Source organism: Homo sapiens, chromosome 11 (assembly GCF_000001405.40).
Source record: "Homo sapiens chromosome 11, GRCh38.p14 Primary Assembly".
Lineage (NCBI taxonomy): Eukaryota > Metazoa > Chordata > Mammalia > Primates > Hominidae > Homo > Homo sapiens.
Window position 1 is genome coordinate 7453241 of NC_000011.10, and position 17259 is coordinate 7470499.

The following is a 17259-nucleotide window of genomic DNA, read 5'->3' on the forward strand; positions in this document are numbered from 1 at the left end:
AATTAGCCAGGCATGGTGGCGTGCCCACTATGGGGAGGAGTGGGTACTGTCAGTACAAGCTGGGAAGATACTCCAAAGTGTTTCTGTAACCCCTAGGAGCCAGCCATTGGCTTATCTATCATCAGTTCCCATGACCATCTTCAGTTGTCCTGGTCTCTAGCATGCACACATTCATTCAGCCAGTGTTTACTGAGCCCCGCCATATGCCACATGCTATTCCCAACACTGGGAATAAGGTGTTGAGCAAGGCAGTGAGTGGGGACCCCTGTGCCGTGGAGGTTGCATTCTGGTGGAGGGAGACAGGCAAATTGCATACAGTTGAACAGAAAATAGGTCATCACAAGCTGGACGATGCAAATACAAAGGCAAGATGTGACAGCAGTGATGGGGCACTCCTTTGTGCTGGGTGGCTGGGGAAGGCCCTGAGAAAATGACACTTTCCCTGACTGACCAGAAGCAGACAGCCAAGCAGAGGCCTGAGAAGTGCATTTCCATCACAGAGCAGATGGCCAGCATGCATCTCTGGAGCAAGGACCAGCGTGGCCTGTCCAGAAGTAGAGAGGAGGCAGGTGTGGCCAGGACCATGAGCAACGAGAGGTAGAGTTGTAGGAGAGGAGGCCGAAAGGGAGTCAGGCCAGGGCGCAGAGGGCATGGCCCCTAAGTTCAGATCTCAGTCGCCCTCCTCAGGAGCACCAGGGAAGAGGCCTTAAGCCCAGTCTCCTTCAGCAGGCACCCTCTGTGGTCTCCTCTTGTTTGACAGGCCAGAGGCTCCCAGCTGGCCAAGAGGGCTCAGCTTCCCCACAGGGCAGGATACCAATCCCTAAGTCCAGGTGAGTCGCCCCTTTTCTGACATTGCTGCTCCCCAGTCACTTTTCTTTCCTTTCCTTGCTACCTACCTGATTTCCAGCCCTTGATGAGAGTCCAAGCCTCCAGCTCCCAGAATCACCCTTCATTTTAATACTCAAATACCCTGAGTCCCCACCCTTTCTCTCTAGCCCTTAGTTGATGTCTTCCTCCCATTTGTCTCTGCAGTGGCCTGAGGAATGGTCTTTTTTGCATCTCATGATTCCAGATGATGCTTACCATTTCCGCTCTCTGCTGCACTCCAGGCTTCTCTACAGCCATCTTTAGAGGCCTTCAGCTGCTTCTCCCAGCCACCATCTTCTCCCTGCCCTATCCCCACATCCTATCCCAAGCACGGACACAGTCCCTTTCCCCATTCCCCCAAAGCATGCAAATGCCAGACTATAGCATTTAATGAAGATTTCCTAAGGGCTGGGGATAACACGAGTGAAGACAATGCGAGTAACTGAAATTAAAAATTCTATAGCCAGGGAAAGAAACATCCATCTAATATCATAATTGTCTCTGCCAATAGGAAACTGCCTACGGGGAACACATTTTACATTGTTATGCAGAATAACACAGCCTCTCATTCTGAGATTGGACCTGGGCATTACCTTTAATAACCTAAGGCCCCTGATACCTCCCCAAAGAGCTGTTTCCCCAGCACCCCAACACACTGTCTTGCAGGTGGTTTCTTCACTAGGGTGCCAGGATGAGGAGATGTGTGAAGCTAAAGTCAGCTCAAAGTCAGCTTTCTCTCCACTCACCAAGTGGTGAGTTTGCCTGGAGGAGGCTTCTGTTTCTAAGTCACACAAAGGCCCAATGCTAACAGCATGGCTGAGAGATACATGCCGTGGCCTACTATCAGCCACAGTGTATAGAGGACAGCAGATACACAGATGAGAGAAAACGAATTCAGCTAATAGGTTTTATTTGTTTTGACATTGTGAGTATCTTTGAGATGAAAAGCTAATAGTTGGAATAGTGCCAAAAATCTTAATATTATTAATAACATATCAATAAAAGCCTCTAAACCTTTAAGGATAAAAGAAAGTTTCTTATCTTGTATCCTCTTTTCAAACACATTTAAGGGCCTTTGTTTCTGTCTCTTTCACTGAGAAAAAAAAAGCAAGCTGCAAGACAATACATTTTCTAAAATTAGCACACATTTAATTGACTTTTCAAAATGAAGTTCTATTCAACCTATTAGATGTGTATATTCCATACAACATTCCAATGTTTAAGCTATTTTTTTTTTTTTTTTTGAGACAGATTCTTGCTCTGTCATCCAGGCTGGACTGCAGTGGCGCCATCTCGGCTCACTGCAGCCTCTGCCTCCTGGGCTCAAGCGATTCTCCTACCTCAGCCTCCCAAGTAGCTGGGACTACAGGCACCCGCCACCACGCCTGGTTAATTTTTGTATTTTTTTTTTTTGTAGAGATGGGGTTTTACCATGTTGCCCAGGCTGGTCCTGTACTCCTGGATCCAAGTGATCCACCCACCTCGGCCTCCCAAAGTTCTGGGATTTAGACATGAGCCATTGTCCCTGGCTCATTTAAGCTAATTCTGAGACTTTTTCCCAAATACAGAAAAACACATCTGTAAATCACCATTGGAGAAAGAAAGGAGAACGTGAAGGTCCTGGGAAAGGGGTGAAGGCCCCTGCTTGAGGACTTCATGGGGTTGGTACTTAGTCCCTCATGGTATCACAATAGGCTATGCATTCTACAGCTGCTCTTTGTGACCTGTGTAAATTCTGGGCAAAAATGGCCTTTCCCTGGGTCATGTCTGCTAAAGCAAGTATCACCATCCAGTCAGATGGGGCTGATCCCAGCAGGTGCCCAAGAAGGAAGTCACCCACTGTCTAAAAGTCCTACATAATCCTCAGGGTTCATTTTAGGTGCCACCTCCTCCATGAAGTTTCTAGTGAGCAATGCCCCATTTGGAATGAAGTACTCCCTTAATAGTTTGATTGTATTTAGATTGTATTTGATTATACATTTACCACTTACCACCTCTCATTTTTATTTTGTAGTTAGTTGGATACATCTGTCTTCTCTCCTGATGTGAACTCTTTAGGTCTGGGGCATAGGGTCTGTCAGTACCCACTAAATTGACTATTTTTAGTTGATTTGGACTTACTGCAGACCTTTTACTAAACATGGCAATTGAGCTTTTGCTCTCTGATCATGGAGAAGTTTCCAGTATGCAATAGTCAGGAGGCAGGAGGGGGCTGGTCAGTGTGTAAGTACTCAAGGGAGGATTAAAACAAGGTACAGTCTGCACACAGCTCCTCACAGTGGGTGGAGGCACCCAGAGGAGAGAGGCAAGCTGCCTGCACATGCAGCAGGCTGGTTACACCTCCCTCCAGTGTCTTCCCCATGTCAGGCAAATGAGAGCTAGAGGACCTTGGGATCTTGCTCTTTAGCCAGAAAATGGCCACCCTCCATAAGTGGTAATGGTGATATCCTGAAATCAAGTTCACAGGTGAACAGATCTAATGTCCATTTTATTGTTCACTAAAGTTTAGGGTCAGTTGAGAGTGGGTGATAAATATATGACTCTTCATTCATTATCTCTTTGGTATTTATATTTTTGACTTATTTTTTCAGAACTCCATTGGTCCCTATTCAGGAAATGCTAAATTTAAACAGCCCCGTCCTGTTTTGGGACCAGCCACCTAGAGTTCTCAAGTGCTAAAGGCAACGACCTCCTTCCCATCCTCACTCACCAGTAATTCCACAGGGCCAGGCTCAGTGAGATCTGTCAAGGCAAGAGGGGTGCTTCAGCTGATCCCATACTATCACTCAATTCTGGTTTTCTGACTCTCTTATTTGTTTTCAATCCAACCTCTACACTCCTTCAAGTACTAAAGTACAAATCTGAGCATGTAACTCTCCCACTTAAAAATCCTTCAATAACTGCCCTTCATTCTGAACAAGATCAAGATCGAGTTCCCTACCTTGGCATTCAAGGTCCTCTGCGACCCTGCCTCCATCTCCTCCTTATACTTTATGTTGGGGCCACACCTAATGGCTGGTGGTTCACACAGTGCTTTCTATTCACCCCCATGCCCTTGCTTCTGCTTTAACTTTTTCTTGTGCTGTCCTTTCAACCCCTCTTTTCCTGCCTAGATCCAGCCTGTCTTTTTAGCATCTAATCAGTTGTCAGCTTCTTCAGGAAGCATTCTGAAGATCCTGTGGTATGAGCTAAATGCTTCTCGTCTGTGCTATCCTCTCCTAGCACCCTGTGCCTGCCCCTGACATAGCATTTGGTGCCACTTGATATTATCTGTGTGTGTGTCATCCCCAGCACCTCCCACTGCTCCTTGAGAATGGGCCTAAGTGTTATTCATCATTGTATAACAAGCACCTGGCAAAATGCCTGGCACAAAGTCAGCATTGAATAAGTTCTTGTTGGACAGAATTTCAATTTCTTCTATCTTACAACTTGTAAAATGATTTTTACAAGTTTTACTTACTGATTTCTTAGATAAATTCTCCATGTCAATTTTTCTTCAAATCTACAGGCATAGTGGTTCTATTAATGCACCAAAGCAACTGAGAGCTAGCTCTGAATGCCAAAGAGCCAGGCAACACCCATGAGAATGAAGACAGTGGCAGTGAAGGTCCCAGTCATCATCTCAGATGGATTTGCAGTGTCATGAGGGCTCAAACAGTTCTCATAAAGGTCTTTATAAGAGACTTACCTTAGTTTAAAAGGCAGGTTGGGAAACCCATGACCATTTCCTCCAGAAAGCACAGAATTCCTGCAAGCCTGGGGTCACTATTTTGGCTGCCATGCTGTCAGCTTATCCCAGCAATCTTTCAAGGTGCTTCACTGTATGGCATCATTTGCTGTATTGTAAGAATTCTGTTCAAGTAAGAATCAATCAAGCTTCCTTTGAAACAATCACTTTGCATAAGGAAATGGGAGTTTCAAGGATGTATTTATTTGTTCAACAAATATTGATTGAATACCTACTATAGGTGCTGAAGATACATTTTTAGGGACAAAATAGTCAAAAATCTTTGCTCTAGTGAAACTTGACTAGTGGGAGACACAGATGTATTATGTTATAGTGAAGGTAAATGCTATGAAGAATAAAATAGGGCCGGGTGCGGTGGCGCACACCTGTAATCCCAGCGCTTTGGGAGGCTGTGATGGGCGGATCACCTGAGGTCAGGAGTTCGAGACTAGACTGACCAACATGGCAAAACCCCTTCTCTACTAAAAGTACAAAAATTAGCCGGGCATGGTGGCGGTCGCCTGTAATCCCAGCCACTCAAAAGGCTGAGGCAGGAGAGTCACTTGAACCTGGGAGGCAGAGGTTGCAGTGAGCCGAGATCATGCTACTGCACTCCAGCCTGGGCAACAAGAGTGAGACTCCATCTCAAAAAAATTAATTAATTAATTTAATTTAATAGAGCAAGCAATGGGGATCAGAAGTGTGACATAGATTGTTTACTTTTTACAGGGGGTTAATTTTAATGGAGGTAATTGTAGGGCTCACAAACAATTGCAATATTTGAGCAAACACTTGAAGGAGGTGAGGGAGCAAGCCCTGTGGCCATGCAGAAATACACGCTAAGGGAACGGCCAATACAAAGGCCTTAAGGAGGTTCACACGAGGATAGTGAGGAGAGTAATGTGGGGGATGCAGGAGAGAAAAAAGAGAGAGAAGTAGGGGATGAGATCAGAAAGGTAACAGCGGGCAGAGCTCAGGTAACTGGAACCCAGTAGAGCTTCAAAAGTACTTTGGCTCATTCGCCAACATGGCAATTTTTAAGAGAGATGTGACATGATCCAAAGTTATCACTGATCTCTCTGCTGCTGTGTTGAGAATAGACTAGATAATGACAAGGTTGGACGTGAGAATACCCATTAGGAGTCTACTGCTATAATCTAGATGGCAATAACAGAGGCTTGGACAGTGTAGAAGCAAGGAACATGGTGAGAAATGGTTACATTCTGGGTATATTTTGAAGGGAGACCCAATAGGGTTTTCTGTAGGGTATGAGAGAGAAAAGTAAAGGATGATTCCAAGGTTGACCGTGGAAAGATAGAGCTGCCATTAAGTGAGCTCAGGAAGACTGCAGGTAGAGCACCTATGTGGGATGATCAGGAGTTAGACCTAATAGGTTTGAAGCAACTATTGGATATCCATAGGAAAACATAAAATAGCAGTTAGATGCAGGAATCTAGAGTTCCAGAGAAAGATCAGGCTGTAAAAATGGATGAGATGTAAATGGTAAAGAGAAGAGGTCCCAGGACTAAGAACTGGGACATTCTATTTAAAGGTAAAGAAAAGAAGAGAAACCGATAGACTGAGAAGGAGCAAGTCATTGAAGTAGTAAGAAAACCAAGAGGGTTTGGTATCCTAGAAGGCAAGAAAGAAATTGTTTCCAGGAAGAGGGAATGCCCAGATGTGACAAATAAGATGTAAATAAAATGAAGATTAAGAACTGACATTGGGTTTACCAATGTGCTGGATATTGGTGGGGTACTGGTTTGAATAGTGTCCTCCCAAAATTTACATCTACCTAGAACCTCAGAATGTCACCTTATTTGGAAATAAGGTCTTTGCAGGCATGTTAAGATGAGCTTATGCTGGATCAGGGTAGGCACCAAATCCCATGACTAGTGTCCTTATAGGAAAGCCATATAAAGACCTAGAGGGACATACAGGAGACTGCCATGTGACAATGGAGGCAGGAATTGGAGTGATGCAGCTATAAGCGAAGGATTGCTGGCAACCACTAAGAGCTAGGAAGAGGCAGGGAAGACTTCTCCCCAAGAGCTTTCAGAGAAAGCATGGGCCCACTGGTACCTTGACTTCAGACTTCTAGCCTCTAGAACTGTGAGACAATAAAGTTCTGTTATTTTCAGCCATCCAGTTTGTGATACGTCATTATGGCAACCCTAAGAAACTAACACACTTGACGAAGCAGTCACTAACTTGTCTGTACCTTGATTTTCTCATCTGTAGAACAGGAATAAAAGTACCTGCCTCAGAGGATTGTGGTAAGGATTAATAATATATCTAATATTCTTATAATAGTACATACCAAATTCTACATAATGTTAACTGTTATAATGATTATAGATCTAATAATTCTGTTTTGAAATAAAAACACTTTTTTCACTTGTTCTTTGCTAAATTCTCATTAGCTTATTAATTTGACAGATTAAATTTTCCTAAACTTTTAAACACCAATTTTACGTTTAATCAAATTCTCTTAAATATTTTTAAATGAGAAAAAAGATATAAATCTAGTGAGTAAAATTCTCCTAAATTTTTAAGCATTGTTTAAGCAATTGATTAACTACATTTCTGTGAATATTTCAAGCTAAAATCACAAATTTAAAATGTGATTATATTAAACACTCCAAACATCTAATGCAGGTGTTAAACAAAATTGTTCTCAATCATGTAACTCTTATAATGCTAACAAATAAAATCTTATACATTTAGGTGAAATGATGTTAAGCATTTCAATATCTTAAAAATAAGCTTTATAAATGTAGTATAATAGATTTTCCTAAGCATTTAAATGGTGACTATAAATTTAACTAGTTAAGTTATTCTAAATATGTCCATTAAAATCATGAATCTTATAATTTTCTAGTGTATCAGATTGTTAAGCATTTAGCTTAAAAACAAAAATTGGGATAACAACATGTGTATTGCACTTGAATAAATAAAGTTTACACAAAAGCATCATTTATAATTCTTATTTGTTAACCCTTTCTGTGTCACAGTTACTCTTCTAATTACTAGGAACACAATGATCAGTTTAGGAGCTCTTTCTAGGAATTGAAATTACAGAGATGACCAGAGATTTGAGTCCCAAATTGCAGAGGTAGAATAACCGTGCACAGACATGGGATGGGGCATTGGTTGCCTCACAGGGGAATTTTACCAGAGCTATGAATTAATAAGGCAAGTTTCTTCTTCTGGTTGGCTTCTGCTTGCTGTACTGTCAGTGGGAGACAATCCTAGGCTTTTTAATGGAATTTTATTTTATAACCCAGTGCATCACATATATCCTAGGAATCTTTCCAATTTCACCCTTATCGAATTTTTGTTATAACTTTTATCATTCCTATTCCGTGATTTGGGTAGATGGAATTATGGACACACACACTCACACATAGTAGTCACAGAGCTTCCTGCTGAGACGTCCTTTTATTCTGTGTTCCTTCTCTTCATCCTTGATTCTATAGTCTTCTTTTGACCACACTGAGCCCTTCAAGAATAGAATGTGCATTATTTATCTTTGTGTTTTGTTTGTTTGTTTTTTGAGAGGGAGTCTGGCTCTGTCACCCAGGCTGGAGGGCAGTGGCATGATCTCGGCTCACAGCAACCTCCACCTCCCAGGTTCAAGTGATTCTCCTGCCTCAGCCTCCCAAGTAGCTGGGACTACAGGCACCCACCACTACACCCAGCTAATTTTTGTATTTTTAGTAGAGACGAGGTTTCACCATGTTGACCAGGCTGGTCTCGAACTCCTAACCTCAGGTGATCCATCCGCCTTGGCCTTCCAAAGTGCTGGGATTACAGGCGTGAGCCACAGCGCTGAGCATAACTTTGTTTTCTTAGGGCTCAGCACAAATGCCCGGTGCTCAATAAATGTTTGTTGAATGATGAATACATGTAATGAATATTAATTTGAAGTAACAGACTCCAAACATCCTCCACTTTACTTCATCAGGTAGAGTAATTTTGGCCCTATAGTAATTTCCTATCTTGCCACCTCATCGAAAAATATGACAGTCCTTGTCTTACCTTCTGAATGGTGCCTTCACTGTAGCCTTTGCTTCTTGATTGTTTCTAATGAGCCCCTCTCAGTAAATAACAATCTACATGTCACACATGCCACGCACCATTTGCCACCTTTCCCCTCAAGGTCTACTTGACGGTGAATCTTAACACACTCTCCTGTGAAGTCTGGACTGTTCAGAATTCATTTCTGGACTAAGAATCCTTTCTAGAAAGGTGCTGTAGTGGAGTTACCATTCAAAGCACAATAATTTACCATTCTGGGCATAGCACTTAAGAGCATACATTTTAATCCATAAAAGCATGGTGGCAGATTCTGGCTCTGCCATTTACTACCTTTATTATTTGGCCTTTTTCAGACTCAGTTACCTCACTGTGAAACTGTAATTGTAATATCTATCACAGAGGGTTAAGGTGAGGCATGAATGAGATAAGGTATGCAAAGCTCTTAGGATAGAGCTAGTGCTTAAGCACTCAATAAATAGTAGTTGTTGCCCAAATGGACCCTTTCATTTTTCCATGCTACTGGCCCAATCTCCTGAAAGGCAGTATAGTCACATTCATACTGCTTTATTTCTTTAACATACTTGTTCTTAAAGCCGAGAGAGGAAGTAAAAAAAAAATAGAATGTCCTCTTTACAGAAAGAAGCTAATCAGATTGTAAACTGGCAGCGCGTGATAATTTTTCATATATTTGTAAAGCTGTGCTAAGCAACAGTCAACAAAATCAGATTCTAAACCAGCAGAGCATGATGAATCTTCATATATTTGCAAAGCTGTGGTAAGCAATAAATAGTCAACAAAATCCTGAGATTTTTGTGCTTTTTAAATAAAATTTTAAATGTAAATTTAACAATATTAAGTACATAATAAGATTAAATCATGTAATAAGAATCACTTCCATTTTTGACAAGCTTCTTAGTTCAGAGCCCTTAGGTACTTCCTGTAATAAAGTCCCATTTTCAGATTCACAGAGAGATATTATCTAATGTTTCACTCTGTCTTTTCATGTTCTTAATTTGGGGTCTGTTTCAATGGCCTGTCTCATATCAGCTGTCATTTTTGTGATCGAAATGTCACTTCACATTACAGTTTTCATTAGGACAGTTCTCATCTTTGGTTTCAATTCAATTTAATTCAAATTAGATCCTTATGTCTCAGGACAATTGAATTCACTTACAATCTTCTCTGTTCAGATAGGATTGTAACCACTACTTCCTGTTGATACTACTGGAGTTGTTGGTACCTTCTAAACCCCTGGTACTGCCTGGGAGCCCACCAGGTCTCATAACAAGGACACTGCTGCTTCTGCCCATGGAAATGGGGCTGGCACCAGCACTGGAACCAGCCAAGCTAGCATTATGCTCAACAGTTATTAAACCACCGTTACTGTCTCCGGTGTTGATGACTGAGTCTCTACCACCTTCCTCTCAACAAAATCCCACTGGGTCAATGCTTTTCTGAATTATGGAAAAATCTTTCTTTTCTCACATTTTGTTTTATACAATTTTTGGCTGAAAAACAGCTCACTAGGTTATAGGAGTTTGGAAAGGTGTAATTTGCTTATTTTGTTTGATTTGGTTGAGATTTTCTAGTCTTCCCCCAACAGAAGCCAGACAAAAGGGGGCTGAACAACAACAGCAAAATTTACTCATGTCTTCTCCTGAGACAACTTTTTCAGAACTGACTTGTATGCTTGACTTTCCCTAGAATAAGTTTGTTTTCAAGAGGCTTTTCTTGCAATATTGCTGGTAGCAATGACCCTATCACGACACCAGATGTATTGAAACTCCTTAATCCTGTCATCTTGTGGGCTTGGTCCCAGCTCACAAGCATTCTAGGACCTTAGTGGCGCTGTCCAGAAGAGGAAAAGATTCAGAGCCCAGAAAACTCACCCAAGTGAAGGGCTGCACCTTAAGAAGGGGGAGACCAGTAGGCTGCACCGCCGTATTTCCAGAGGCTGACCTTGATTCTGGCTAATTACACACACAAGGAAATTCACCAAATGAGCAAAACCCAGCTATGGAGTTCAGGTGGGAGCTGTGCTATGACTTGGCCATTGGCAACAATGCCAATGCTAGTGGTATCCCTGGGTATGGGGACTGGTAAAAAAAATTGGCTAAGGTTGCAGCCTAGCCCTCTAAGCAGGCTTTAGACAGGCCATAAGAAATCAGGTACAGAGGTGGTCCCTAAGGCTGGGTACTTTGGGAGAGCTAAACCCAAAGCATTCTGAAGGAACTGCTTAAATGAAGAGGTAAAATTAGGTCATAATAGGGAAAAATGAGGTTGTGCACAGAACTGTGGGGGCAAACAAGATACATATGCATGTCACTAGCTGGGGGAATCCAGAGAAATGGGATAAGCAGCTAGGAAACCATAAGTGGGATGTGGCACCTGCTGTATGCTACTAGTTTGGACTAGGGTTCTTAAAGGAAGCTCATCTGGCTAGATTTAGGGAGTCTAGAAAGCCAAGGCAGATAAAGTACTTTTAATACATCAGAAATGTAGACTGGACCTACAGAGGGAATTGACATAATTGCTAAAGCTTGGACTTTGAAATTGGAAGTCTTGGGTTTAAATCTCAGCTCTGACACTTAGTCACAGTGTGGCCTTGTGCAAATTAGTGTCTCTACAACGCTGCATCCTCCATTAAAGAACCCCACGGGGTCTTTTAAGAACTTGTAAAGTCCATATCCCAGTGCCTGGCATACAATAAGTACCCAAAAATGAAGGAATATGGGCTGATACCATCACAACTAATTCCAGACCACATTCATTGGTGACACTGAGCCTGTTAACAATTTGCTTTCTCTGATGGGAAGGAACTCAGGAATTGGCAAACTGATATGGGTATGGGTTTCACAGTTGAAAGAGCGGCTAGGGAACCACGGGCCTGATGTAGATGGTGGCTTAGAAAGTAGAGCTATTCGGGGCCAGGCGCGGTGGCTCACGCCTGTAATCCCAGTACTTTGGGAGGCCGAGGCGGGCGGATCACGAGGTCAGGAGATCAAGACCATCATGGCTAACACAGTGAAACCCCGTCTCTACTAAAAATACAAAAAAAAAAAATTAGCCGGGCGTGGTGGCGGGCGCCTGTAGTCCCAGCTACTCAGGAGGCTGAGGCAGGAGAATGGCATGAACCCGGGAGGTGGAGCTTGCAGTGAGTCGAGATTGCGCCACTGCACTCCAGCCTGGGGACAGAGCAAGACTCCATCTCAAAAAAAACGAAAGTAGAGCTATTTGGATGGTGCTCCAGGGTAGCAGCTGATCTGGCAAACTGATATTTGAACCACAATATTAAGACAAATATCATTCAGTCTTTCTTCCTAGACACAGAAACAAAGACCCCTTTCCCAGAGATGTGTGTGTGTGCCCACACACATGCACACACTTCAAAGCCACGGGTCACAATCAAACGTGGTTTCCCTTTGCAGTGAACACACTGGCTTTTAATACTTTCCTTAAGTAAGTTATAGCCTCACATGTGAACTTTTGATCTCTGAAATGAAGTCCATAAATTTCATTGTCAGAATGGTTGCTACTCTTTTATAGTTTACGTGTAAATTTTGTTATTCCTATATCCATAGAAGTCACTTCAGTTTTTTCTCTCTATGGCCACAGTATTACTACATTTAATCTGTGCTGGAAGGTGCCCTGAGTTTAAATTAAGTTGAATGCTGGGCTGAGTGTGAAACACAAGAGATACTGCTAGTCTAAGTCTGGGGCTTCCTTAAGAGAGCCCCTCCTTCACATCTCGGAAACAAGGAATGATGTTGCACCACTCAGACCTCATCTTTCCATCCCAGCTGTATTAGTCCATTTTCACGCTGCTGACAAAGACATATCCGAGAGTGGGAAGAAAAAGAGGTTTAACTGGACTTACAGTTCCACATGGCTGGGGAGGCCTCAGAATCATGGCAGGAGGCAAAAGGCACTTCTTACATGGCAGCAGCAAGAGAAAATGAGGAAGAAGCAAAAGCAGAAACCCCTGATAAACCCATCAGATCTCGTGAGACTTATTCACTATCACAAGAACAGCACGGGGAAGACCGGCCCCCATGATTCAATTACCTCCCCTGCCGGGTCCCTTCCCACAACACGTGGGAAGTCTGGGAGGTACAACTCAAGTTGAGATTTGGGTGGGGGCACAACTAAATCATATCACCAGCCTTACCTCCGACCACTTCATTCCTCACACTACAGTCCAGTCACACCAAATTGTGATGATTCCTTCAATGCACCATGCCCTTTATTGCATTCTGCCTTTGCACAGTCTCTTTCCTCTACCCCAAGTGACCCTTCTTCTTTCCAGAGGGATTCCTCTTCAGCCTAAATGGCTTAGCTCAAGACTCATCAATCAGAATGCTCTCTATAGACCTCCTCAATCCCTTTGAAGTTACTTTCTCCCTTCCCATTGCCCCTGCAGTATTCTATGCAGCTTCTCACATCATAATATCTCCATCTGTGAGCCCTTTGAAAGCAGGGGGAGTGTCCTACTTATGGGCTTAGTATCCCCAGCATCTATTACCATGCCTGGCACTTGTTTGGTGCACATTAAAAATGTATGAATGGGCCAGGCACAGTGACTCACGCCTGTAATCCCACCACTTTGGGAGGCCGAGGCAGGCAGATCACAAGGTCAGGAGTTCGAGCCCAGCCTGGCCAACATGGTGACACCCTGTCTCTACTAAAAATACAAAAATTAGCCAGGTGTGGCGGCGGGCACCTGTAATCCCAGCTACTTGGGAGGCTGAGGCAGGAGAATTGCTTGAACCCAGGAGGCGGAGGTTGCAGTGAGCCAAGATCGCGCCACTGCACTCCAGCCTGGGTGACAGAGCAAGACTCTGTCTCAAAAAAAAAAAAAAAAGAAAAAAAATGTATGAATGAAAGCCAAATTATTTTTTTGTTTTTTCTTCCTGCAGAAACGATGACCATGGGTAAGAGGACTGCTTGTGCCAAGGACAAAATAGGACAACCATCTCACAAAGATCTTAAGTAACTTTTTCCATCCAGCAACATCCAGACGATTTCAGTGACCAAATGCTCAGCTGTAACCACAGCACTAACTGGCCTTCTTTCCAGATTGGGTTTGGTGAACCTGAATGGTCCAGCCACCTTCTGCAGGTGGCCCAAGGTGATGTGCTGCAGGGAAGCATGTCTCTCATGCCAAGAACCAAGATCGGACTATGAACAAAAACAAATGATAGATATAGTGACAGTACCAAGAGTACCAGGACTCAATGTTTCATATGAAGCCCTTGGTGATGAGGACATAGCATCTGCCCTGGAAATCGTTATTCCAACATAATATTATTTTCTAGAATGCCCTGGAAGGACAGAATATTTAAAAATATATCCAGGTGCTAAATAGGCAGCAGATCTCAATTCACACATGACTACCTTTGAGCTAATGACTGTCTCCAGAAAATAACTGTGCCCCAAGAAGTGCTCCAGATTTGCAAGGAATAGCCCCAAGAGAATACCAAGACAAGCAGGCTGTTCCCTGGAAAAAATCTAATGCAAGGAGGGCTAGTTCACAGCAAATTCACTGCCTCCTCCCATGCACGTGGTAGAGAGTACCAGTATCAACATGGCCCTGTTTTCTGCTAAAACCAGATTTTGAGGAATCAGAGACCCCCAACACTACTCACTCAGTAGCTAGCAGCCCCTTCCTTTCAACTGGGAGTGTTATTAGAATGAAAAGTAATTAGTTAGAAGGGCATACATCTCAGTGGCATGAGCATTGTGGAATATCCTTTCCTAGGCACATTCGTCCACTAAGGGAACAGCCTCAGAAACTGGTACAGCAATGGGTGAGATGAGATCATGGAGAGAGAACACAGCCATCCCCTATAGAAAGGCACAGCTTTTGGGCTTCTCTGGCCTGAATGCCTTCTGGGGTATTTCCATATGCAACAGCCCAGAGTCATAGCCTTGGGCAACCACACATAGAGGTTTCCTTCTCACTTCAGACACATACATCACTTTCACACCACTTGGGGATGGAAATACCTACAAGAGTGAAGGTCAAGGGCCCTCCCCAGGCATCTCATTCATTACTCAGCTTCCTTCCTGACCAAGTCTGCCAACCAATGGCCAGCTATGCGCCTCATCCTCATTGCTTCTGCCTCCACGTAAATGAAACCAAAGGCCTCAGCATATCCTGGGAGGACTGGGGGCTGTTACCTAATGGTCCTCTCTGTCCCATTATAGGTGCAAGGCACCCCATCCACACATTTGCACCACTACTCCAAGATAGTATTTTTCTTTTCACACAATCTCTTTACAGCAGAATCCAGAGTTGGATTGTAGTTTACCTTCCTGGAAAGCTCATTATCTCTGTTTGAATTAACATTTCAGCATGGAACTAACTGGGCGGAGGAAGGATCGTTATACGTCTTCAGAAAGTTCTCATTGCCCCAGCTGCCTAGTACTATACAAGAAGCTCTACTTTGATGGCAGATCTAAGAAGGCTATAGGCCTTTGTTTGTAGGAAGCAGTGTCATTACATTCAAGCTTCACTTCTCTGATTGGCTTCCAACCACTGGGATTCAAAGAGAATCCAAGGTTCTGCCTATGTCTGATGACATAAGGAAAACTTGGCTTCCTCTGCTCAAGGTTCCCCTCTGCTCATCCCTCCTCATTCAGACATCCTCCACCATACCAGTGTTTAGAAGCAAAACATGAAGGGCTAGCGCCACCAGGATAGTTAGCAGAAATATTGTCTGTAAAGCTAGGCAGATGAGCCCAGAAGAATGGTCCCAGAGAAAGCAGACTGGCTCCAATAGATATCAGGCAGCAATCCCAATAAATTCTGACATGTCCTTGGCAATGGAAGCCTGGGTTGGAGATCCTGAGGCAGCTGTGCCTACTGTTCCCCACCTCAGAAGCTTCCTGCCCAGAGAGCCAGCAGCCTTGGGATACTAATGAGGATGCAACTGGCTTATTGGTATGAAATAGAAGGTGGCTTTGTAGGGGCAAGCAGGCAAAGAGTACTATCCACATGGCAGGCAGGTGGCTTTGTGTCTGGAAAGCTTTGCCTAGCCAGTACAGCTGTGAGCAGAGGCTGGTTATAAATTTGAACTCCCTCAGCCCATTTGCAACTCTGCCTCTGTTCTCTTGCATTCTGTTTGGTTGCCCTTTAGTTTCCTAGTAAATGCTCCTTTTGAAAAACTCCAACCTTGTCTTATTTAACTTGGGGGAAGGGGATTCTCCAATGTCTTTTCCAGGATAAAGAAGGAAATTAAAATACCATGAAAAAATGGACATGGCAGTAGAAAGGAAACATTCTGATCAGACCTTGGGAAAAGCTGGTGCCGAGAGAGGGAGAGGCCAGGTGTCCCCCCACCCAACTGGCACTGATTCTCAGCCCCTTCCTCTTACTTCTGTTGGCTTCAAGGAGACCTGCCCTTGATGTGTGTTGCTGCTGAAGCACCCTCCCAGCCAGTGAGTTGGACATATGCAGCAGGCACTTTGATGTCCAGGAAGTACACTGGTACATGACAGGAGCAAGGGTCAGGGAGGGGAGGGGAAAGGTTTCTACAATGCAGATGTTTTCAAAATTCTCCAACAATCATGACTCTAAATGGTATGATTTAGGGCTGGGTGCAGTGACTCACACCTGTAATCTCAGCACTTTGGGAGGCCAAGGCGGGAGGATCACTTGATACCAGAAGTTCAAGACCAGTCTGGCAACATGGAGAGACCACCATCTAATTTCAAAAGAGACCCCCCGCCCCCCCGGCTAATTTTTAAAAAATTAGCAATGTACCTGTAGTCCCAGCTACTTAGGAAGCTGAGATAGGAGAATCGCCTGAGTCCAAGAGCTTGAGGCTACAGCGAGCCAAGATTGCAACACTGCATTTCAGCCTGGGTGACAGAGCAAGGCCCTGTCTCTCTAAAAAAGAAAAAAAAAAGGTATTGTTTAGTTCACATGGCCATCAGTAGAACTACATTTCATATGATGAGAAGAAAATAATTATTTATTTTACACTTGAGTCAGGGAGACTGACAAAGGATAGGTATGGAAAATGGCTTGCTATTTTCATGGCCACCCTGTCCTGCAATGCGGGGGGTGGGAGGGGGGACATTCCAATGACTTACTGCTGCATGACAAAGCACCAAAACATAGTGGCTTAAATAGAAATATATTGTCTCTCATGATTATCTGAGTTGACTGAGCTTAGTTGATGCTCTCCCCTGCAGTCTCATGGTTGCTCTCAGATGGCATCTGGGGCTGGCATCATCTGAATGCCTGCCTCGGATGGATGTCCATAATGGCTTCTTCACTCACATCTGGCTCTGGAATTGAGATAACTGGAACAGCTGCAGAATGGCTGGACATCTCTCTCCACATAGTCTCTCCATATGGTTAGTTCGGGCTTCCTCACCACAGGGACATCTCAAGATAGTGTTCTGATAAAGTGACTGGCTTCCTCCAGAGCTAGCATTGCAAGTGGTCCAGCTAGATGCTACAAGGTTCTGTTAAGTAAGTTCTAAAGGAACCTAGAGTCATTTCTGCCACATACTAGGGTCAAGAGCAAGTCATAATCTTGAATCAGCCCAGATTCAACGGGAAAGAAATTACACAAGAATGGAATACGAGAAGGTGTGGCTCATCAGGGCCATCT

At 43.7% G+C, this 17259-nt stretch overlaps 1 protein-coding gene and 1 long non-coding RNA gene across 4 annotated transcripts in view, besides 1 other annotated feature; one reads left to right on the forward strand and one right to left on the reverse strand.

Annotated features, from left to right (window-relative positions):
- Window positions 1-12595, reverse strand: part of SYT9-AS1 (SYT9 antisense RNA 1) — a 28209-nt gene extending 15614 nt beyond the window's left edge. Inside the window, exons 1-3 of the long non-coding RNA NR_103855.1 lie at window positions 12513-12595; window positions 7999-8096; window positions 4556-4719 (exon numbers count right to left, since the gene is read on the reverse strand). This is a non-coding gene — a long non-coding RNA (SYT9 antisense RNA 1). The remainder of the gene's footprint in view (window positions 1-4555; window positions 4720-7998; window positions 8097-12512) is intronic.
- The window catches only part of SYT9 (synaptotagmin 9), a 230266-nt gene extending 214463 nt beyond the window's left edge, over window positions 1-15803 (forward strand). For all 3 annotated transcript variants that reach the window (XM_047426379.1, XM_011519901.3, NM_175733.4), the window contains one exon: window positions 13552-15803. In XM_047426379.1, the coding sequence (XP_047282335.1) occupies window positions 13552-13560 (9 nt within the window). In that variant the 3' untranslated portion in view covers window positions 13561-15803. The remainder of the gene's footprint in view (window positions 1-13551) is intronic.
- Window positions 14682-14741: an enhancer, noted in NCBI's record as "active region_4362". NCBI's record gives its function as "activates an Ori minimal core promoter by ATAC-STARR-seq in GM12878 lymphoblastoid cells {active_cell/tissue: GM12878}" and the evidence as "EXISTENCE:reporter gene assay evidence [ECO:0000049][PMID:35858748]".
- Window positions 15804-17259: the final 1456 nt, after the last annotated feature.